The sequence below is a fragment of the Homo sapiens genome, chromosome 16, assembly GCF_000001405.40.
Source record: "Homo sapiens chromosome 16, GRCh38.p14 Primary Assembly".
Taxonomy (NCBI): Eukaryota; Metazoa; Chordata; class Mammalia; order Primates; family Hominidae; genus Homo; species Homo sapiens.
This window is the reverse complement of record NC_000016.10, coordinates 72,316,330-72,341,302: the sequence shown is the minus strand read 5'-3', so window position 1 is coordinate 72,341,302 and position 24,973 is coordinate 72,316,330. Positions and strand designations below refer to the sequence as shown.

Below are 24,973 nucleotides of genomic sequence, written 5' to 3'. Positions count from 1 at the left end.
AAAAATTGACATATTTATTTAAAGGAATGGCTGATCAATAATGTCAGATACTCAAGACTGAGGGAGTTTGTAATGGTCTGCAAGAATACAGAGGATGTTTGTGTTTTTTTAATTACTCAGTTTCTTTTTTTTTAAGATGTGGTCTTTCTATGTTGGCCAGGTTAATTTTGAACTCCTAGCTTCAAGCAATCCTCCCACCTCAGCCCCAAAAGTGCTGGGATTATAGGCATGAGCCACCATGCCCAGCCCCTAGTTATCCATTTCTAACTGCTATTGTAAATTATATTTTAAAAGTATAAATGCTATATTAATTAGAAGGTTTACTAGGCATTATATTAATTAGAATGTTTACTAGGGATTAGCTTTTGTTTCTTTTAATAAATGTATGTATACTCCCCAGGGGAAAGGAAAACATTTCCATAAGCTAATCAGTTCAGATGACAATAATTAATACATTAAAATGAGCTAATCATAAACTCATTTCAAACCACTCTCATTTAATCACCCAATGTGGACTAAAAATTAAATTTACTTAAAATTTACTATTGTAACTTTCATACCAACCACTATATTGTAATGCCAGATATTCTCCATTAAAGATCCCTATTTCTAATCTCTTAGCATTTCCTGTACATAATTCTTTTTAGACAAAAGCATTACATGTTTTGGATACGTTCTGAAATCATTTGGGAGAAATTCGACAGAATGCCTGTTTAGCTGTCTTTTATTTGCATTTGAAATATTTAAAATGTACTCATTACCCAGTCTTCCTTAATGTATTGAATTAAGAAAACTGGGCCGGGCACGGTGGCTCATGCCTGTAATTCCAGCACTTTCGGAGGCTGAGATGGACGGATCACAAAGTCAGAAGATCGAGACCATAGGGGTCAACATAGTGAAACCCCGTCTGTACTAAAATACAAAAAAGTAGCCAGGCGTGGTGGCGCACACCTGTAATCCCAGCTACTCAGGAGGCTGAGGCAGGGGAATCACTTGAACCCAGGAGGCAGAGGTTTCAGTGAGCCGAGATGGCACCACTGCACTCCAGCCTGGCGACAGAGCAAGACTCTGTCTCAAAAAAAAAAAAAAAAAAAAAAAAAAAAAAAAGACGGTTACAGTGGCTCACACCTGTAATCCCAGCACTTTGGGAGGCCAAGGCGGGTGGATCACGAAGTCAGGAGTTCAAGACCAGCCTGGCCAACTTGATGAAACCCCGTCTCTACTAAAAATACAAAAATTAGCCTGGTGTGGTGGCAGGCACCTGTACTCCCAGCTACTTGGGAGGCTGAGACAGGAGAATTGCTTTAACCCGGGAGACGGAGGTTGCAGTAAGCCGAGATCGCGCCACTGCACTCCAGCCTGAGCAACAGGACAAGACTACGTCTCAAAAAAGAAAAAAAACTGACTCCAAACATCCTTGCATATATTATTTTGAAAATACAATTGTTTTGTTGCTTTTCTTTTTAAACAATCACAAAAAGTCTCCTCTCCTTAAAGAGCTTTCAACTCAGACCATTGAAGAAAAAGAATAATCAAAGTTACTAACATTATCCAAATATTATTCTTATAATGTATCATAGGAATAAACAAAAGTGGGTTTTATAAGGCAATATAAGCTATATCTACTTAGTTATGAAATAACACAATTGGCACACTATAAGAAATTGTCTCTTTCCATGTATTCTGGGGTACACACTTCTCAAATTCAGAACAGTAACCCTAGGGTGATTATCTTTTAAAAATCTATTCTGCATTCAAACTAGAATAGTATCTTAATATCTATAGGTGGCAAATTTAAACTCAATAGATGTAATAAAATCTAGGTTATACACAGGCAAAGAAATAATTAATGACATATAAGGCAGTATTAAGAAATTCACACAGAACGACAAAGAAGTAAAGTAAAAATCGTTAAGATAAAGAGGATATATTGTGAGGCCCCAAGCCACATCTAAAAGTTGATCTTCAAGAAACAAATAGAAGGAATGGTATATGAAATAGAAGGAATATTTAAAAACATGACATCTTGGAAATTTCCAGAATTCAAAAGTTAGCAGTCTTCATGTTTAAATTGTGTCTTGAATAATGAGCAGGATAAATAAATAAATATAAAATCACATCACATCACATTATAAGGAATACCCATAAATACCATCATATAATGGTGTTTGGGAGAAAAAATTGTCAATTCAAAATTTTATACTCAACTATACTAACATTCAAGAAGGAAGGCAAAAGTACAGATCCTTACTGTGCAACCAGAAAGGATTCAAGCATATAAGAAACAAAGTCAGCCAGGCACAGTGGCTTACACCTGTGATCCTAGCACTTTGGGAAGCCAAGCTGGGAGAATCACTTGAGATCAGACATTCAAGGCCAGCCTAGGCAACATAGTGATACCCCATCCCTATAAAAAATTAAATTAACAGGGTGTGGTGGTACATGCCTATGGTCCTAGCTACTCAGGAGGCTGAGATAGTAGGATTGCTTGAGCCTCAGAAGTTGGGGATGCAGTGAGTTATGATTATTCCACTGCACTCCTGCCTGGGTGACAGAGCAAGACCCTGTCTCAAAAGAAACAGGAAGGAAGAAGGGAGGGAAGGAGAAGGGAAGGGAATGAGAAGGAGAGAAAGAAAGAAATGTTAACCCAGAGGGAGGCATGGGACATAAGAAAGTACAACAAGCATAAAAATGATAAATATGTTGTTAATTGCCAATTGTAGAAAGGTTTAGTGATTTTTTTTTTGTTTTAAAAAAGGTTAATCCAAAAGTAAGAGAAAAATAGAATGGTAGAGGGTGTTATTTAATGTTTAATGGGCAATTAACATGCACAAATATCCATGTGATATGCAAGAGGAAGAGTTATGTATGTAATAACTTAATGTTTTAGACTTTAGAAAAATTTATTTATAAATGAATATAGTTTTCAAACTTGAAATGGAAAAGAATATGAAAATTTTTATCAATATAATATGCAGATTAAAAAGGAAATAAAAACAAAATAAATAGAAAATGCAAAATAACAATTTAGAAATGAGTCCAGATATATCAGTAATTACAATACGTGTTCATTGAACATGTTGGATTCAGTAGGTTTCAATCAAGAAATAGTCTTGTATCCTTCCAACTAATCCCTTCCACACTCCTGTCTGATCTACTTCCTCTGACACGGACCCCAGGGGTTTTTTTTGTTTTGTTTTTTGTTTTTTTTGTCACTTTCAGGTATTAATAAACAATCTTCATTTTCAGGTAGTAAAAAATCTAGTCCCTTGTAAATCCAATTTAAAGCTCCTACCCTTTTCTACTCTCCTGCAGCTCAGTTCTGACCCAGACCTGGGAACTTCCAGTGGGAAAGGAGTCTCCTGGTTTGTCTTTTTGTGACTCCTCCCTGCTCTTGCTCCACTTCCCTGTTCTCTGGGCTGCCTTTAAAAGAAAATCTACAAAGCAAATGTGAAAAGATTTAGATAGAAATGAAAATTAAAGTTCTATATATTAAAATTCATGCACTGTAACCACATGGTACTGAAGCATAAATGTATACCTTTAAATATATTTGTGAAGCATAAAAAAGATTGTAAAAAAGTAACTTAAGTGTTTGACTCATGAAGCTAGAACAGAATAAATAAAAAAAAAAGTAGAAGGAAAGAAATAATGGAGAAAAAAGCATAAACTAATAAAATTAAAAACAAAGAAATAATACAGAGGATCAACAAGTCAAAAACCAGTCTTTGAAAAGAGTAAAAAAAAAAAAAAAGCATGTAGCCAGACAAATTAAGAACAGATATAAAAAACACAGATTAATAAAAATTAGGATTAAAAAATAGAACAGAGGTATAAATCTGTAGAGAATTTTTCAATCACTTATGAATATTATGAATAATTGTATGCCAATATATTCAAAAACATTTAAAATGGACTTTTTAATTTTTTTGAGACAGCGTCTCACTCTGTTGCCCAGGCTGGAGCACAATGGCGCAATCTTGGCTCACTGCAACCTCTGCCTCCCAGATTCAAGTGATTCTCCTGCCTCAGCCTGCTGAGTAGCTGGGATTACAGTCATGCACCACCATGCCCAGCTAATTTTTGTATTTTTTTTTTTTTTTCAGTAGAGACGGGATTTCACCATGTTGGTCAGGCTGGTCTCGAACTCCTGACCTCATGATCCACCTGGCTTGGCCTCCCAAAGTGCTGGCTCCCAGGCGTGAGCCACCGCGCCCAGCCTAAAATGGACTTTTCTTAAATTATAAAAATTATCCAGAAAGAAATAAAAATCTGAATAAATGAATAATCATTAAGAAAATTGAATTAGTAATCAAAGAATCCATGTAAAAAGGACCAGAAATGACGATTTTACCACACATTTAAGGAAAATTAATTACTGTTTTATACAAACTTGATTAGAAAATAGTAAAAAGATAAAGCAGGCATACCAAATTTTTCTTATGAAGCAAGAGTAGTTTTGGTACTGATGGAAATAACTGTGGAAGGAAAGAAACTATTAGACCAATTGCATTTTGAATATAGATTCAAATCCCAAGTAAAACACAAATCAGATTCAGATAGGCAAAGTAAGGTTTATGTTAGGAATACAAGCATTGTTTAATATGTTAGTGTTATTTATTATGTAAACAATAAAGAATAAAAGTTATACAAGCATCAAAATGATACAAAGCATTAAATAAAAATAAAATCTATTCAGAAAATTTTAAATTTAGAAACTAGGAATTGAAGAAAATGTCCTTAACCTGATAAACAGTATCTGTCAAAAATGGCAAGAATCACCAATTAAAACAGTCTCCTTCCCTTCAAAAATATTAATCTCAGTAGTTGCAGAAAAAGTATTTAACAAAACCCAACATTTGCTCATGATTTTTTTAAAAAGGTATGCTCAGCAAGTTAGGAATAGGAGGGAATGTCCTGAAATTAATAAAGGATATCAACTAAAACCTACAGCTAACATCATACTTAAGGGTGAGAAATTGAAGGCTTTCCTCTTAAGATCACTAACAAAGCAGCCCTTTAACATTGTACTGAGGGCCTGGCATGGTGGCTTACGCCTGTAATCCCAGCACTTTGGGAAGCCGAGGCGGGCAGATCACCTGGGTTCGGGAGTTTAAGACCAACCTGACCAACATGGGGAAACCCCGTCTCTACTAAAAATACAAAATTAGCTGGGCACGATGGCACTTGCCTGTAATCCCAGCTACTGGGTAGGCTGAGGCAGGGGAATTGCTTGAACCTGGGAGGCGGAGGTTGTGGTGAGCCGCAATTGTGCCATTGCACTCCAGCCTGGGCAACAGGAGTGAAACTCCATCTCGAAAAACAAAACAAAACAAACAAACAAAAAAACATTGTACTCAAGGTACTAACCGGTGCAATAAGGCATGAATAAGAAATAACAGGCATGCAGAATGGAAACGATGAAGTAAAATTTGTCTTTATTCACAGATGGCATAATATTGTTTATTGGAAATTCCAAATAATCTACAAAAAATGGCTCCTAGAACTAATATGTGAGTTTAGCAAATCTTATGATATAAGGCCAATGTTATAAAAATCAATTGCATTTCTATATAGCAGCAGTAAACGATTAGAAAATGAAATTTAAAAACAATAGCATCAGAAATCCTGAAATACTCTGAGGCAGTTCTAACAAAATATGTGCAAAGTGTGTAGCCTGAAAATGTAAAACATTGTTAAGAAAAATTTAAATATCTACAGATAAATAGAGAAATAATACCATATTTATGGACGGGAAGACTCAATGTGGAAAAAATATGTCAGTTTTCTAATTGGTCCAGAGACTCAATGCAACTCTGACCTTCTAAATCTCAGTAGCTTTTTTCCCCACTATAAATTGATAGGTTGTTTCTAAAATTTCTCTAGAAAAGCAAAGGACCAAAGGGGAAATACTTTTGAGAAACAGAACACAATTAGAGAACTCATACCATCTAATTTCTAGACTTAATATAAAGCTACAGTAGTCAAGTCGTTCAAACCGGTATAAGAAAAGATCTATAGATCAATGGAACAGGATAGAGAGTCCAAAAATAGATCCACACATATATGGTCAATTTGACTTTTGACAAAGGTGCCAAGGCCATTCAATGGAGAAAGGATAGTTTTTCAACAAATGGAGCTGGAATTATTATACATACGTCTGCAAAGAAAAATAATCTCAGCCCTTAGTGCATTTGTATACAAAATTTCTTGGATTAGAAAAAGATTTTTAGGTAGAACACAGCACAAACCATAAAAGAAGAAACTGATACATTGACTTTTATAAAAAACCTTGAAATGTTGCTCTTTAAAAGACATTGTTGAAAAACGAAATTATATGACACAGAATATAAGAAATATTTGGAAAATGTATTTCTGATAAAGGACTTATATCCAGACTATATTTAAAAACCTTCAAAAATCAACAATTAAAAAAAATCTTAAAATGGACAAGAATTGGAAGGACACTTTACCAAAAAAGATATAGTTGGTAAGTAAGTACATGAAAATATGCTCAGCAGCATTAGTTGTTAGAGAGGTGTTAAGTTAAAACCACAATGAAATACCACTATACGCCTATTAAAATATCTAAAATTAAAAATATTGATCATAACAAGTGCTGACAAGAATGCAGAACAACTGAAACTCAAAGAAGGGATATTAGAAATCAGTGGGAAAATGACAGACAGTTAAATTAATTTGATGTACCAATTGGTAATCCATATGAAAATAAAATTAGTTTTCTAACTCATATAACCAAAAAAAAAAAAAAAATCCACAGGTTAAAGACCCAGATATGAGGGGTGGAGTAAGCAAAAGCATTAAACTCCATAAAGAAAATATACGAGAGTATGGTAAGAAGGAGCATATTGACCAAAATGCCAAAAGCACAAACCAGAAAAGAAAATATTAATAAACTTGTCTACATTAAAACTTTTAAAATTTCCTATTCTACAAAAGACACCACAAACAAAATTCAAAGGTAAGAGATAGGTGAGGCAAGATATCTATAACATATACTATTGATGTATAGTTACAATATACACAAAGAATTTGTAGCCACAATATATCCAAGATGCATTCAACTCTTTTTTTTTTTAATTATCTACATGTGCACATTGTGCAGGTTAGATACATATGTATACATGTGTCATGCTGGTGCACTGCATTCAACTCTTATAAACCAATAAGGGAAAGATAAATACGCAATAAAAAATAAACAAAGGATAAGAATAGACATTTCACAGACTAGACTGAACAGAAGACTAGACTCCAGTGGCTGCATGAAAACATGTTCCGCTTCAACTAGTATCCCTAGAAATGAAAATTAAGAAAATAATGAAACACCATTTAATTTTTATTAAATGTGCAAAAAATTATAAAATTTAATAGTCACAAGTGTTAGCAAGGATGTGGCCTTAATAAGAACTGGTGGAGTTATAAATTGGTAAAACTAGATTGAAAAGCCATCTTTCAATATAAAATAAAGTTGAGGAGGATTTACATACTCTGATACAGTTTTGTCACTTACAGAGATATATTTAGAATAGTGTTTCTAGTGGTGGACTTATTTGCATTCGGAGTGGGATAGTTCTTTATGTGTTACCATCCAACGCATTGAAGGACATTGAGCATCTCTGGTTCCCAGTACTAAAGCTGGTAGTACTACTGCCAGTAATTTGATAACCCAGACAGTTTTTATACATTTCCAAGCACTTTCGACTTTGGGAGGGGTCCAATACCCCACCTTACTTGAGAATCACTACTCTATAATAACTTGTTCGTATGCAAAAGGGAATGTTTACAAGACTGTTTGTATCAACATTGCTTATAAAGGTAAAAACTGGGGAACAAATTAACAACTAAATGGCAGTAGAAGAATGGATAAAAAGCATGATTTACTCATATACTTAAAAACTTTAGCTGCCATCACCAACACAAAAATGTTCACAGGTGCTGGCAATACTGCCCCTCCTGCACCACCACCACCACCAATGCGAATGTGCTCATGGACACCAGCAGCTTCGCCTTCCACCTGACACCACTACTCAGGTGAACATGCACACAGACACCAGCATGCCTGTGCCTGCCAGCATCTCACACCCACCAACATCCTGTGCCCACCAGCATCCTGCCCCCTGCTGCCACTGCCACTGTGAGTGCAAGCATGGACACCAGCAACCCCACCCCTGCCAGTGCCCTGCCCCTGCCTTCTGCCACCACTACTGGCACAAGTCTGTTCAGGAGTGCTTCAGCCCTGCTCCCACCAGTACCCCACCCCAGCTGATGCACACACATCCCACTGTGTTGCCATGGCTGCTGGCATCCAAGTGAGCATGAATCCTGCTGCCACCATCTTGATAAAGTGCTTTGGCCAGCACCACCCATTAAAGTGTAATGACCAGCAGATTGGGAACACCTCAGTCCCTCCAGCACAGCAGGTTCCTAACCTCAAGGGGCCAGAGAGCAAAGCCAGGGTCCTGGTACCAGCCCCCCAGGAGTTACAGGACACAGTCCATGAGTGATGAGCTGAGCCTTGTTCCCCTGAAATCTTCCAGAAATGAAACCAGTTGACTGAACCCACCCTATACTACAATCAAACCCCCAAGGACATCAAAGAGGATAAGAGAAAAAAAAAAATCCAAAGGACAGCAACTTCAAAGATTGAAGGAATATCAGCCCACAAAGAATAAGTGAACCAGTACAAGAACTCTGGTAACTCAAAAAGCGAGAGTATCTTCTTACCTCCAAATAACCACACTAGTTCCCCAGTAATGGTTCTTAACCAGGATAAAATTATTGAAATGACAGAAACAGAATTCAGAATATGAATAGGAACAAAGATCATCAAGATTCAGGAGAAAGTCAAGACCAAATCCAAGAAATCTAAGGAATACAATAAAACAATACAGGAGATGAAAGACAAAATGGCTATTTTAGGAAAGAACCAAACTGATCTGATACAACTGAAAAACTCACTTCAAGAATTTCATAAAACAATTACAAGTATTGACAGCAGATCAACAAACCTGAGGAAAGAATCTCAGAGCTTGAAGACCAGTTCTCTGAAATAACTTAGACAAAAATAAAGAATAAAGAAGAATAAACAAAACCTCCAAGAAATATGGGATTGTCTAAAGAGACCAAATCTGTGACTCACTGGTTTTCCTGAAAGAGAGGGAGAGAAAGCAAACAACTTGGAAAACATATTTGAGGATACCATCCATGAAAATTTCCCCAACTTCACTGGAGAGGCCAACATTCAAATTCAGGAAATGCAGAGAACCCCTGCATACTATACAAGACAACCATCCCCAAGACACATAGTCATCATATTCTCCAAGGTCAAAGTGAAAGACAAAATGTTAAAGGCAGCTAGAGAGAAAGGGCAGGTCACCTACAAGGGAACCCCATCAGGCTAACAGCAAATCTTTCAGCAGAAACCTTACAAGCCAGAAGAGATTGGGGGATTGGGGGCCTATATTCAGTGTTCTTAAAGAAAAGAAATTGCAACCATGAATTTTATATCCAGCCAAATTAAGCTTCATAAGTAAAGGAGAAATAAGATCCTTTTCAGATAAGCAAATGCTAAAGAAGTTTGTTGCCACCAGATCTGTCTTAGAAGGGGCCTTTAAGGGATTGCTAAATACAGAAAGGAACGACCATTACCAGTCATCACAAAAGCACACTAAGTACATAGACCATTGACACTATAATGTGACCACACAATCAAATCTGCATAATAACCAGCTAACACCACGATGACAGGATTAAATCTGCACATATCACTATTAACCTTGAATGTAAACAGGCTAAAAGCCCCAATTAAAAGGCACAGAATGGCAAATTGGATAAAGAAACAAGACCCAACTGCATGCTGTCTTCAAGAGACCCATCTAACATACAATGACATCCATCATCCATAGGCTCAAAATGAAGGGATGGAGAAAAATCTAGCTAGAAAACAGAAAAAAAGTGAGGGTTGCTATTCTAATTTTAGATAAAACATAATTTAAGAAAACAGTGATCAGAAAAGACAAAGAAGGAAATTACATAACAGTAAAGGGTTCAACAAGAAGAGCTAACTATCCTAACTACATGGGCTCAACAAGGGAGTACCCAGATTCATAATCAAGTTCTTAGAGACCTATGAAGAGACTTAGATAACCACACAATAATAGTGGGAGATTTTAACACCCACCTCACAGACAGATTATTGAGGTAGAAAACTATCAAAGATTTTTGACACCTGATCTTGACACTTAACCAAATAGACCTAAAAGACATCTACAGAATTCTTCACCCCAAAACAACAGAATATATATTATTCTCATCTTTACATGGCACATACTCTAAAATTGACCACACAATCATTCTTAGCAAACTCAAAAAAATTTTTTAGCAAACTCAAAAAAAAATCATACCAACCACACTCTCAGAGCATAGCACAATAAAAATAGAAATCGATATTTAAAAATCACTCAAAACTGTACAATTACACGGAAATTAAACAAACTGCTCCTGAATGACTTTTGGGTAAACAATAAAATTCAGGCACAATTCCATAAATTCTTTGAAACTAATGTGAACAAAGATACCACATGCCAGAATCTCTCTCTCTTTTTTTTTTTAATTATACTTTAAGTTCTAGGGTACATGTGCACAACGTGCAGGTTTGATACATAGGTATAGATGTGCCATGTTGCTTTGCTGCACCCATCAACTCATCATTTACATTAGGTATTTCTCCTGATGCTACCCCTCCCCCAGCCCACCACCCCCCAACAAGGCCCCGGTATGTGATGTTCCCCGTCCTGTGTCCAAGTGATCTCATTGTTCAGTTCCCACCTATGAGTAAGAACATGCAGTGTTTGGTTTTCTGTCCTTGTGATAGTTTGCTGAGAATGATGGTTTCCAGCTTCATTCATCTCCCCGCAAAGGACATGAACTCATCCTTTTTTATGGCTCTATAGTATTCCATGGTGTATATGTGCCACATTTTCTCAATCCAGTCTATCATTGATGGACATTTGGGTTGGTTCCAAGTCTTTGCAATTGTGAATAGTGCCTCCATAAACGTACATATGCATGTGTCTTTATAGTAGCATGATTTATAATCCTTTGGGTATATACCCAGTAATGGATGGCTGGGTCAAATGATATTTCTAGTTCTAGATCCTTGAGGAATCGCCACACTGTCTTCCACAGTGGTTGAACTGATTTACACTCCCACCAACAGTGTAAAAGCATTCCTATTTCTCCACATCCTCTCCAGCATCTGTTGTTTCCTGACATTTTAATGATTGCCATTCTAACTGGCATGAGACGGTATCTCATTGTGGTTTTAATTTGCATTTCTCTAATGACAAGTGATGATGAGCATTTTTTCACGTGTCTGTTGGCTGCATAGATGTCTTCTTTTCAGAAGCGTCTGTTCATATCCTTCGCCCACTTTTTGATGGAGTTGTTTTTTTCTCTCATTGTGGTTTTAATTTGCATTTCTCTAATGACAAGTGATGATGAGCATTTTTTCACGTGTCTGTTGGCTGCATAGATGTCTTCTTTTCAGAAGCGTCTGTTCATATCCTTTGCCCACTTTTTGATGGAGTTGTTTTTTTCTTGTAAATTTGTTTGAGTTCTTTGTAGATTCTGGATATTAGCCCTTTTTCAGATGAGTAGATTGCAAAAATTTTCTCCCATTCTGTAGGTTGCCTGTTCACTCTGATGGTAGTTTCTTTTGCTGTGCAGAAGCTCTTTAATTAGATCCCATTTGTCTATTTTGGCTTTAGTGGCCATTGCTTTTGGTGTTTTAGTCATGAAGTCCTTGCCCATGCCTATGTCCTGAATGGTGTTGCCTAGGTTTTCTTCTAGGGTTTTTATGGTTTTAGGTCTAACATTTAAGTCTTTAATCCATCTTGAATTAATTTTTGTATAAGGTGTAAGGAAGGGATCCAGTTTCAGCTTTCTGCATATGGCTAGCCAGTTTTCCAAGCACCATTTATTAAACAGGGAATCCTTTCCCCATTTCTTGTTTTTGTCAGGTTTGTCAAAGATCAGAGGGTTGTAGATGTGTGGTGTTATTTCTGAGGGCTTTGTTCTGTTTCATTGGTCCATATATCTGTTTTGGTAACAGTACCATGCTGTTTTGGTTACTGTAGCCTTGTAATATAGTTTGAAGTCAGGTAGCATGATGCCTCCAGCTTTGTTCTTTTGGCTTAGGATTGTCTTGGCAATGCAGGCTCTTTTTTGGTTCCATTTGAACTTTAAAGTAGTTTTTTCCAACTCTGTGAAGAAAGTCATTGGTAGCTTGATGGGGATGGCATTGAATCTATAATTTACTTTGGGCAGTATGGCCATTTTCATGATATTGATTCTTCCTATCCATGAGTGTGGAATATTCTTCCATTTGTTTGTGTCCTCTTTTATTTCGTTGAGCAGTGGTTTGTAGTTCTCCTGGAAGAGGTCCTTCACATCCTTGTAAGTTGGATTCCTAGGTATTTTATTCTCTTTGTAGCAATTGTGAATGGGAGTTCACTCATGATTTGGCTCTCTGTTTGTCTGTTAATGGTGTATAGGAATGCTTGTGATTTTTGCACATTGATTTTGTATCCTGAGACTTTGCTGAAGTTGTTTAGCAGCTCAAGGAGATTTTGGGCTGAGACAATGGGGTTTTCTAAATATACAATCATGTCATCTGCAAACAGGAACAATTTGACTTCCTCTTTTCCTAATTGAATACGCTTTATTTCTTTCTCTTGCCTGATTGCGCTGGCCAGAGCTTCCAACACTGTGTTGAATAGGAGTGGTGAGAGAGGGCATTCTTGTCTTGTGCTAGTTTTCAAAGGGAATGCTTCCAGCTTTTGCCCATTCAGTATGATACTGGCTGTGGGTTTGTCATAAATAGCTCTTATTATTTTGAGGTATGTTCCATCAATACCTAGTTTATTGAGAGTTTTTAGCATGAAAGGCTGTTGGATTTTGTGGAAGGCCTTTTTTGCATCTATTGAGATAATCATGTGGCTTTTGTCATTGGTTCTGTTTATGTGATGGATTACATTTATTGATTTGCATGTGTTGAACCACCCTTGCATCCCAGGGATGAAGCCGACTTGATCATGGTGGATAACCTTTTTGATGTGCTGCTGGATTCAGTTTGCCAGTAATTTATTGAGGATTTTTGCATCAATGTTCATCAGGGATATTGGTCTAAAATTCTCTTTTTTTGTTGTGTCTCTGCCAGGCTTTGGTATCGGATGATGTTGGCCTCATAAAATGAGTTAAGGAGGATTCCCTCTTTTTCTATTGATTGGCATAGTTTCAGAAGGAATGGTACCAGCTCCTCTTTGTACCTCTGGTAGAATTCGGCTGTGAATCCATCTGGTCCTGGACTTTTTTTGGTTAGTAGGCTATTAATTATTGCCTCAGTTTCAGAGTCTGTTATTGGTCTATTCAGAGATTCAGTTTCTTCCTGGTTTAGTCTTGGGAGGGTATATGTGTCCAGGAATTTATCCATTTCTTCTAGATTTTCTTGTTTATTTGTGTAGAGGTGTTTATAGTATTCTCTGATGGTAGTTTGTATGTCTGTGGGATTGGTGGTGATATCCCCTTAATCATTTTTTATTGCATCTATTTGATTCTTCTCTCTTTTCTTCTTTATTTGTCTTGCTAGTGGTATATCAATTTTGTTGATCTTTTCAAAAAACCATCCCCCAGATTCATTTATTTTTTGAAGGGTTTTTTGTGTCTCTATCTCTTTTAGTTCTGCTCTGATCTTAGTTATTTCTTGCCTTCTGCTAACTTTTGAATTTGTTTGTTCTTGCTTCTCTAGTTCTTTTAATTGTGATGTTAGGGTGTAGATTTTAGATCTTTCCTGCTTTCTCTCATGGGCATTTAGTGCTATAAATTTCCCTCTACACAGTGCTTTAAATGTGTCCCAGAGATTCTGTACATTATGTCTTTGTTCTCATTGGTTTCAAAGAACATCTTTATTTCTGCCTTCATTTCATTATTTACCCAGTAGTCATTCAGGAGCAAGTTGTTCAGTTGCCATGTAATTGTGCAGTTTTTGAGTGAGTTTCTTAATCCTGAGTTCTAATTTGATTTCACTGTGGTCTGAGAGACAGTTTGTTGTAATTTCTGTTATTTTACATTTGCTGAGGAGTGCTTTACTTCCAATTATGAGGTCAATTTTAGAATAAGTGTAATGTGGTGCTGAGAAGAATGTATATTCTGTTGATTTGGGGTGGAGAGTTCTGTAGATGTGTATTAGGTCTGCTTGTTGCAGAGCTGAGTTCAGGTCCTGGATATCCTTGTTAACCTTCTGTCTCATTGATCTGTCTAATATTGACAGTGGAGTGTTAAAGTCTCCCACTATTATTCATTGGGAGTCTAGGTCTCTTTATAGGTCTCTAAGGACTTGCTTTGTGAATCTGGGTGCTCTTGTATTGGGTGCATATATATTTAGGATAGTTAGCTCTTCTTGTTGAATTGATCCCGTTACCATTATGTAATGGCCTTCTTTGTCTCTTTTGGTCTTTGTTGGTTTAAAGTCTGTCTTATCAGAGACTAGGATTGCAACCCCTGCATTTTTTTGCTTTCCATTTGCTTGGTAGATCTTCCTCCATCCCTTTATTTTGAGGCTATGTGTGTCTCTGCAAGTGAGATGGGTCTCCTGAATACAGCACACTGATGGGTCTTGACTCTTTATCCAACTTCCCAGTCTGTGTCTTTTAATTGGGACATTTAGCCCATTTACATTTAAGGTTAATATTGTTATGTGTGAATTTGATCCTGTCATTATGATGTTCGCTGGTTATTTTGCCTGTTAATTGATGCAGTTTCTTCATAGCGTCAAGGGTCTTTACAATTTGGCATGTTTTTGCAGCGGCTGGTACTGGTTGTTTCTTTCCGTGTTTAGTGCTTCCTTCAGGAGCTCTTGTGAGGCAGGCTTGGTGGTGACAAAATCTCCCAGCATTTGCTTGTCTGTAAAGGATTTTATTTCTCCTTCACTTGTGAAGCTTAGTTTGGCTGGATATGAAATTCTGGGTTGAATATTCTTTTCTTTAAGAATGTTGAATATTGGCCCCCACTCTCTTCTGGCTTGCAGGGTTTCTGCCAAGAGATCTGCTGTTACTCTGATTGGCTTCCCTTTGTGGGTAACTCGACCCTTCTCTCTGGCTGCCCTTAACACTTTTTCCTTCATTTCAACCTTGGTGAATCGGACAATTATGTGTCTTGGGGTTGCTCTTCTTGAGGAGTATGTTTGTGGTGTTCTCTGTATTTCCTGAATTTGAATGTTGGCCTGCCTTGCTAGGTTGGGGAAGTTCTCCTGGATAATATACTGAAGAGTGTTTTCCAACGTGGTTCCATTCTCCCCATCACTTTCAGGTACACCAATCAAACATAGATTTGGTGTTCTCACATAGTCCCATATTTCTTGGAGGCTTTGTTCATTTCTTTTTACTCTTTTTTCTCTAACCTTGTCTTCTGGCTTTATTTCATTAATTTGATCTTCAATCACTGATACCCTTTCTGCCACTTGATCGAATCAGCTATTGAAGCTTGTACATGATTCACAAAGTTCTTGTGCCATGGTTTTCAGCTCCATCAGGTCATTTAAGGTCTTCTCTACACTGTTTATTCCAGTTAGTCATTCATCGAATCTTTTTTCAAGGTTTTTAGCTTCCTTGTGATGGGCTCGAACATCCTCCTTTAACTCTGAGAAGTTTGTTATTACTGACCTTCTGAATCCTACTTCTGTCAATCATCAAAGTTATTCCCCATCCAGCTTTGTTCCATTGCTGGCGAGGAGCTGCGATCCTTTGGAAGAGAAGAGGTGCTCTGATTTTTAGAATTTTCAGCTTTTCTGCTCTGTTTTCTCCCCATCTTTGTGTTTTTATCTACCTTTGGTCTTTGATGTTAGTGACCTACAAATGGGGTTTTGGTGTAGATGACCTTTTTGTTGATGTTGATGCTATTCCTTTTTGTTTGTTAGTTTTCCTTCTAACAGTCAGGTCCCTCAGCTGCAGATCTGTTGGAGTTTGCTGGAGTTCCACTCTAGACCCTGTTTCACTGGGTATCACCAGCGGAGGCTGCAGAACAGCAATTATTGCAGAACAGCAAATATTGCTGCCTGATCCTTCCTCTGGAAGCTTTGTCCCAGAGGGGCAGCCGCCTATATGAGGTGTCTGTTGGCCCCTACTGGGAGATGTCTCCCAGTTAGGCTACATGGGGGTCAGGGACCCACTTGTGGAGGCAGTCTGTCCGTTCTCAGAGCTTAAACGCCATGCTGGGAGAACCACTGCTCTCTTCAGAGCTTTCAGACGGAGACGTTTAAGTCTGCAGAAGTTATCTGCTGCCTTTTGTTCAGCTATGCCCTGCACAGAGAGGTGGAGTCTAGAGGCAGTAGGCCTTATTGGGCTGCAGTGGGCTCCGCCCAGTTTGAGCTTCCTGGCCGCTTTGTTTACCTACTCAAACCTCAGCAATGGCAGACGCCCCTGCCTCAGCCAGGCTGCCACCTCGCGGATCAATCTCAGACTGTTGCACTAGCAGTGAGCAAGGCTTCATGGGCATGGGACCCGCCAAGCCAGGCACAAGAGAGAATCACCTTGTCTGCTAGTTGATAAGACCTTTAGGAAAAGCTCAGTATTTGGGTGAGAGTGCCCCATTTTTTCAGGTAGTCTGTCATGGCTTCCCTTGGCTAGGAAAGGGAAATCCCCTGACCCCTTGCATTCCCAGGTGAGGCAACACCCGGCCCTGCTTCAGCTCGCCCTCTGTGGGCTGCACCCACTGTCCAACCAGTCCCAGTGGGATGAACCAGGTACCTCAGTTGGAAATGAAGAAGTCACCTGTCTTCTGCATTGATCACGATGGGAGCTGCAGACCAGAGCTGTTCCTATTCGGCCATCTTGCCAGAATCTCTTACAGCACTAAATGCCCACATCAAAAAGTTAGAAAGATCTCAAATTAACAACATAGCATCATGTCTAGAAGAACTAGAAAAACAAGAGCAAACCAACACTAAAGCTAGCAGAAGACGAAAAATAACAAAAATCAGAGCTGAACTGAGGGAAATTGGGATGTGAAAAACCACACAAAAGATAAAGAAACCCAGGAATTTGTTTTTTGAAAGATCAAATACAATTGATAGACCACTGTCTAGACTAGTAAAGAGATAAAATCCAAATAAACACAATCAGAAGTGACAAAGGGGCCATTAACACCCTACGAAAATTCAAAGAACCCTCAGTGACTATGAGGATACTATGAACACCTCTGTGTGCACAAACTAGAAAACATAGAAGAAATTGATAAATTCCATTTCTTCTATGGAAGGAATTCTATAAAACATAAAACCTCCCAAGACTGAGCCAAGAAAAAATTGAATCCCTGAACAGACAATAACGATTTCTGAAGTTGAATCAGTAATAAAAATCTTTTTTTTTTTTTTTTTTTTTTGAGACGGAGTCTCGCTCTGTCGCCCAGGCTGGACTGCGGACTGCAGTGGCACAATCTCGGCTCACTGCAAGCTCCGCTTCCCGGGTTCACGCCATTCTCCTGCCTCAGCCTCCCGAGTAACTGGGACTACAGGCACCCGCCACCGCGCCCGGCTAATTTTTTGTATTTTTAGTAGAGACGGGGTTTCACCTTGTTAGCCAGGATGGTCTCGATCTCCTGACCTCATGATCCACCCGCCTCGGCCTCCCAAAGTGCTGGGATTACAGGCGTGAGCCACCGCACCCGGCCATAAAAATCTTACCAACCAGAAAAAGCCCAGGACCAGATGAATTCACAGCTAAATTCTACCAGATGTTTAAAGAAAAGCTGGTACCAGTTCTACTTAAACTATTCCCAAAAATTGAGGAAGTACTCGATTGGGAGGTGACTCGATAGGAAGGTACCCCTCCCTAACTCATTCTATGAAGTATCATCATTTTGATACCAAAAACTGACAGAGACACACCAAAAAAAGATTACTTTAGGCCAATATCCCTGATGAACATAGATGCAAAAATCCTAAACAAAATACTAGCAAACTGAATTCAGCAGCACATCAAAAAGCTAATCCACCATGATCGAGCAGGCTGTATCCCTGGGATGCAAACTTGGTTCAATATACACAAATCAATAAGTGTGATTCATCACATAGAACTAAAAACAAAAACCACATGATCATGTCAGTAGACACATAAAAGGCTTTTTTAAAAATTCAACATCCCTTCATTTTAAAAACCTTTAACAAACTAGACATTGAAGCAGCATACCTCAAAATAATAAGAGCCATCTATGACAGACCCACAGCCAGCATTATACTGAATGATCAAACGCTTTCTAGCTTCTGCATTTCCTTTGAGAACCAGAACAAGACAAGGATACCCACTCTCTCACCATTCCTATTTGACATAGTACCAGAAGTCCTAGCCAGAGAAATCAGGCAAGAGAAAGAAAAAAAAAGAATCTAAATAGGAAGAGAAGAAGTCAAACTATTTCTGTTTGCAAACAATATAATTCTATACCTAGAAAACCTCATACTCTTTGCCCAAAAGCCCCTAGATGTAATCAACAACTTCAGCAAAGTTTTAGGGTACAAAATCAATGTACAGAAATCAGTAGCATTTCTATACACCAACAAAATCCAACCTGAGAGCCAAATCCCAAAGAATGCAACCCCATTCATAATAGTCACAAAAAGAATAAAACACCTTCCAGTACAACTAATCAGAGAGATAAAAGGTCTCTACTATGAAAATTACAAAACACTGCTGGAATCAATAGCAAAGACATGGAATCAACCTAGATTCCCATCAACGATAGACTGGATAAAGAAAATGTGGTACACAGACACCATAGAATACTATGCAGCCATAAAATAGAATGAGATCATGGTCTTTGCAGCAACGTGTATAGAGCTAGAGGCCAGTATCCTAAGTGAACTAATGCAGGAACAGAAAACCAAATACTGCATGTTCTCACTTGTAAGTGGAAGCTAAACATTGAGTTCACATGGACACAGAGTAGGGAACAACAGACACTGGGATGTACTTGAGAGAGTGGGAGGAGGATGAGGATTAAAAAACCATCTGCCACATACTATGCTTATTACCTGGGTGACAAAATAATCTGTACACAAAACCCCTGTGACATGCAATTTACCTATATGACAAACCTGTACATGTACCCCTGAACCTAAAATAAAAGTTAAAATAACAACCCAGGAACCGCAACAAAATGTTGCTACAAGTATCTGTATGGATAAATCTCAAAAACATGTTGCATGAAAAAGCAAGTTGCAAAATCATATACTTATTGTATCCACTGTTAGTCAACTAATTTAAAACTTATGAAATGCATAACAGCCCTGTATATTATTTATGTATATGTACACATGTGTGAGATAAATGTATGTGTAAAAGCATAAAAACAGAACCTGAATAGTAGTGGTCACCAGTAGAGAGGGAGGGAGAGATAAATAGGATCATGGAATGATACCAGAGGGCTTCAACAGTACCTGTAATGTGTTATTCATGTAAAAGAAAGGAATTAATGAAATAAGCCAAAACATTAAGATTTTGTTAAAGCTGGGTGGGCTGCAGTTTCCTTCCACTCCTCTGGTTGCCTTGCAGGAGTACTTTTCCATACACATGCCTCATTTTTCACCACACCCCTTTGTTCTCCCTCTGAAGTAGAGAAAGTACCCCAGTTAATGCGTTTGGAGAGGAACTGAGCATTCCCATCTTAGCCCCATTCTCCTACTTTCTGGTGTCTTCCCTTCTGCAAATGGCTTGTGCTCTGGTCTGCTGTTGGCTACAAGGTGAGTGTAGTGTTGGAAACCCAGGAAAACTGTCCAGGTAGCTATGGTTGCTTAATTCTGGGATAAAGGGTTGTGAAGCTAATTGTCAATCCACACCCAAACCATGTTTTCCACACTTACCAGAAATAAGTGGCTATTTAGATCTGCCTGTCTTTATGTCCCTTATTTGGTTTTTAGAACTTGGAAAGGAAGGTATGTTATGTGTTGCTATGCACACTTAAGCCATATCCTCCAACACAGACTTTATTGGTTGATACAGTTTTGCTCTGTGTTCCCACCCAAATCTTACGTTGAATTATAATCCCCATAATTCCCACATGTCAAGGGTGGGACCAGGTGGAGGTAATTGAATCATGGAAGTGGTTAACCCATGCTGTTCTCATGATAATGACGAGTCTCACAGGATTTGATGGTTTTATAACTGTCTAGCATTTCCTCTGCTTGCACTTCTCCTTCCTCCTGCCTTGTGAAGAAGGTGCCTCACTTCCCCTTCACTTTCTGCCATGATTATAAATTTCCTGAGGCCTACCCTGCCATGCTGAACTGTAAGTCAATTAAACCACTTTTTTTAAAATAAATTATCCAGTCTCAGGTATGTCTTTATTAGCAACATGAGAATGGACTAATACAGTGAATTGGTACCAAGGTAGTGAGGCACTGCTGTAAAGATACCTGAAAATGTGGAGTGACCTTGGGACTGGGTAATAGGCAGAGGTTGGAACAGTTTGGAGGGCTCTGAAGAAGACAGGAAAATGTGGGAAAGTTTGGAGTTTCCTAGAGACTTGGAGGGCTCAGAAGACAGAAAGATTTGGGAAAGTTTGGAACTTCCTAGAGACTTGTTGAATGGCTTTGACCAAAATGCTGATAGTGATATGGACAATGAAGTCCAGGCTGAGGTGGTCTTAGATGGAAATGAGGAACTTACTGGGAATTGGAGTAAAGGTCATTCTTGCTATGCTTTAACAAAGAGACTGGTGGCATTTTGTCCCTGCCCTAGAGATCCGTGGAACTTTGAACTTGAGAGAGATGATTTAGGGTATCTGGCAGAAAAAATGTTGAAGAGGCAAGGCATTCAAGATGAAGCAGATCATAAAAGTTTGGAAAATTTGTGGCCTGGCAATGTGATAGAAAATAAAAACCCATTTTCTGAGGAGAAATTCAAGCTGACTACCGCTGCAGAAGTTTGCATAAGTAATGAGGATCTGAATGTTAGTCACTAAGACAATGGGGAAAATGTCTCCAGGGCACGTCAGAGACCTTCATGGCAGTCTCTCCCATCACAGGCCTGAGATCTAAGAGGGAAAAATGGTTTCATGGGCTGGGCCCACAGCCTGCCTGCTCTGTGCAGCCTCAGGACATGGTGCCCTGCATCCCAGCTGCTTCTGCTCCAGGCTGTGGCTGAAAGGGGCCAAGGTATTGCTCAGCCTTTGCTTCACAGGGTGCAAGCTGCAAGCCTTCCATGTGGTGTTGAGCCTGCAGGTGCAAAGAAGTCAAGAATGGAGGTTTGGGAACCTCCACCTAGATTTCAGAGGATGTATGGAAATGCCTGGATATCCAGACAGAAGTTTACTGCAGGAGTGGAGCCCTCATAGAGAACCTCTGCTAGGGCAGTGTGGAATGGAAATGTGGTGTCAGAGTCCCCCCCCAAACACACACACACAGAGTCCCCACTGGGCCACTGCCTAGTGGAGCTGTGAGAAAAGGGCCACCATCATCCAGACCCCAGAATGGTAGATCCACCAACAGCTTGCACCATGCACCTGGAAAAGCCACAGACACTCAATGCCAGCATGTGAAAGCAGCCATGAGGTGGACTGTACCCTGCAAAGCCACAGAGATGGAGTTGCCCAAAGCCATGGGAGGCCACCTTTTGCATCAGTGTGACCTGGATGTGAGACATGGAGTCAAAAGAGATCATTTTGGAACTTTAAGGTTTAATGACTGCCCTATTGGATTTTGGACTTGCATGGGGCCTGTAGCCCCTTTGTTTTGGCTGATTTCTCCTATTTGGAATGGGTATATATACCCCTTGCCTGTACCCCAATTGTATCTAGAAAGTAACTAACTTGCTTTTGATTTTACAGGCTCATAGGAGGAAGGGACTTGCCTTGTCTCAGCTGAGACTTTGGACTTGGACTTTTGGGTTAATACTGGAATGAGTTAAGATTTTGGGGGACTGTTGGAAAGGCATGGTTGTGTTTTTGAATGTGAGGACATGAGATCTGGGAGGGGCCAAGGGTAGAATGATATGGTTTGGCTCTGTGTCCCCACCTAAATCTCACCTTGAATTGTAATCCCCATGATCCCCACATGTCAAAGGCTGGGACCAGGTGGAGGTAATTGAATCATGGGGGTGGTTTCCCCCATGCTGTTCTCATGATAATGAATGAGTTCTCACGAGATCCGATGCTTTTGTAAGTGTCTGGCATTTCCCCTGCTTGCATTTCTCCTTCTTGCCACCTTGTGAAGGTGTCTCTCTTCCCCTTTACCTTCCTCCATGATTGCAAATTTCCTGAGGCCTCCCCAGCCATGCTGAACTGTAAGTCAATTAAACCTCTTTCCCTTATAAATGACCCAGTCTTGGGTATGTCTTTATTAGCAGCCTGAGAACAAACTAATACATTTGTTCTACAGTAGATTTTATTTCCATCTGCCTGACTTCTTTGTCTTTCTCAATTGAATCAGAACTTGGGTTAGGAGGATTTATTGGCCCCCTCAAACTTCAACAGTAAATACAAAGATGTTTGTTATGTTATCCTCTATATGTTTTTTGTAATGAAAAATATTTTTTAAAACATATATATAAAGATTATATATAATTTTGGATACATATGGATACATATATGTATGTGTATGTATGTATTATATAGGTAAAATATATTATTTATGTATATATACATGTATACTATTATGTGTAAATTTTATATATATGCTGCGGATATATGTGTTTCTGTGTGTGCATATACACACCTCTAAATAGTTGACTTTTTGTGAGAATAGTTTCTCACAATTACTTAAAAATCAAGTAGTAATAGTTACTGGAGTAGAAGGACCTGGCTGAACAAGTGCCACGTTTAAAGCAAAGTCAGAAATTCCATGATAAGGAAATAAGCAACTTTGTTTTTTCTGCTCACATCAATAAAATAAAAAGAGCACTCTGGAAGCAAAAATACCCATGTTTTGAGCCAACACGGAATAACTTTGTATCATCTCCATTGGAAAATATAAATGAAATGGAAAATGGGTTTTATAGGTAAAGATTTTAGTTTTTTAATATATATCAGAATCATGAAGTGTAAGAATTAGTAAAACAGGTATAAGAAGAGATGCCTGGTTAAAATAACACTATCCTGGTTAAACCTACTGAACTTGTAATTCCTTCAAGTTTTCTAACTCCTTCCCTTCAATTCTCCTACTTTGTTCTTTTCCTTTTAAACACATTTCTATACTTTCAGGACAAGGGCTTGCCCTGCAGAAAAGAAGAAGCTGAGGTGAAATTAGAAGGTTTAATCAAAGCTTTTCTAGACAGCATGAACAATCAGCAAACATTGAATTGGACAAAATGAAATGCCATTTAAATGGAAACAGCCAGAGCTTGCAGTTTTCCCCAACAAAGAGCATGATTCCAAAACTTACTGCTCTTTGTCTCTTGACCACATACATTTTCCAGCATTAAATGTGAGGGAAATTTGGGTTGCTGGCAGAAGGGAGGTTGTGAGGGTTGGGGGCTGAGTAGGGAAGAGTCACACAACATTGCTTCCTGGTTGCTGCACAGAATGCAAGTCATTATTTTTCAGTGACAGTACCCAGAGACTATTTGAATTTGTAGAGGTACTGCTCTCTGAGTCTTTTTTTTTTTTGGCACTGGTTTTCCGTTCTTAGAAATTGGCTCATACTTCACTCTGTAGACACATCCCAATGTGTCATTTTTAACCGCTATGGGAGAAACAAAATGTGCTTCTGACTTTGGAAAGGAGGTCAGAGAAGAAAGAGCATGTGTCAGAAGGACTTCTATGTCTAGATGAAAAAATAAGCATAAACTGGTTTCTTTCCCAGCAGTCTGGCATGTTACGTTATATTCTCGGCACTGTAGCTTTATTAATTATGACTCATGGATAAGCATTTGTCAATTAAAAATGCTGAAATGTGATCGGTTAAGCTGGCCCAATTATATTGCTTCTACAATTGATTATTTTCAAATAACTCCCCAAATTTTATAGCCACTAATTGGAAATGCAATAAGAATATACGAAATGTCAGATTATTTCAATAAGTCCACAACTTCTTTTTACGGAGCTGAATTTAAAGTAATACATTAATATCCTTCCTTTTAGACTGTAATTCATTAAAATAGATAGTAATCTTTACTCCTGAAAAGATAGGATATTGTGGTTTTAAGGGTTTTTTTGTTTTTAGTTTTGTTTTTGCTTAAATGAACTTAAACTCGCATTTGCTCATTTCTCATTTAAATGTATTTTATACTTATCACCTTTATCAGAGTAGAGCAGGAAACAGGGACTTATCTAAAAATAACATAATAAATGGACTAGATATAGCTGTGTGGGCAGGGTTAAAGGAAGCAAGAAGAAATAGTGAGGTACCCAGAGACTAGCAACAGTGAAAGCCATCACCACCCATGCCTGAGCCTGAAGGGACAAAGGGTGGAATGGTGTTTACCACGGCCTCTTGAAAGCTGAGCCATAGAAGAAAGGCTGTTAGATGAGAGCTTCAGCCATGGACAACCTGTCCCCTGTCACAGCAGCAGAACAAGGGCAAAACAGGGATGAAGTAGGAAGAATAAACACCCAGATTTCCTCCTACCCTCCCATCTCTTGCTGGTGCCTCCAGTGCATAAGGAAGTCCAGATGATGCAGTCAATAGAGGTCAGCCTCCCAGATGTGGAGCTAGAGAAGAGCAAAAAGTGGCCTGGGAATATACAGAATAACGAGCACACCATCCTTAGACAGTCACATCCATCCACACATCCATTCACATTTCAGTTCATACCAGAGATCATTGCTAATGTTATATAGAACATAATAAACATAAATCCCATTTCTCACTCATTCTAAACATTACATTTCAGGTACACAGTACATCCCATCATCATACATTCTGGCCACAACCTACCCTTCCCACATCACTCCTACTAACAATTTTGAA

At 38.6% G+C, this 24,973-nt stretch overlaps 1 long non-coding RNA gene across 1 annotated transcript in view, besides 1 other annotated feature; it reads left to right on the top strand.

Annotated features, from left to right (window-relative positions):
- The window catches only part of LINC01572 (long intergenic non-protein coding RNA 1572), a 384,069-nt gene that overhangs the window by 323,668 nt on the left and 35,428 nt on the right, over nucleotides 1–24,973 (top strand). The window lies entirely within an intron of this gene.
- Nucleotides 6,526–6,695: an enhancer, noted in NCBI's record as "experimental_44023 CRE fragment used in MPRA reporter constructs". NCBI's record gives its function as "activates a minimal promoter by MPRAs in K562 erythroleukemia cells, with activity observed for both the introgressed and non-introgressed 16:72368592 variant alleles {active_cell/tissue: K562}" and the evidence as "EXISTENCE:reporter gene assay evidence [ECO:0000049][PMID:34662402]".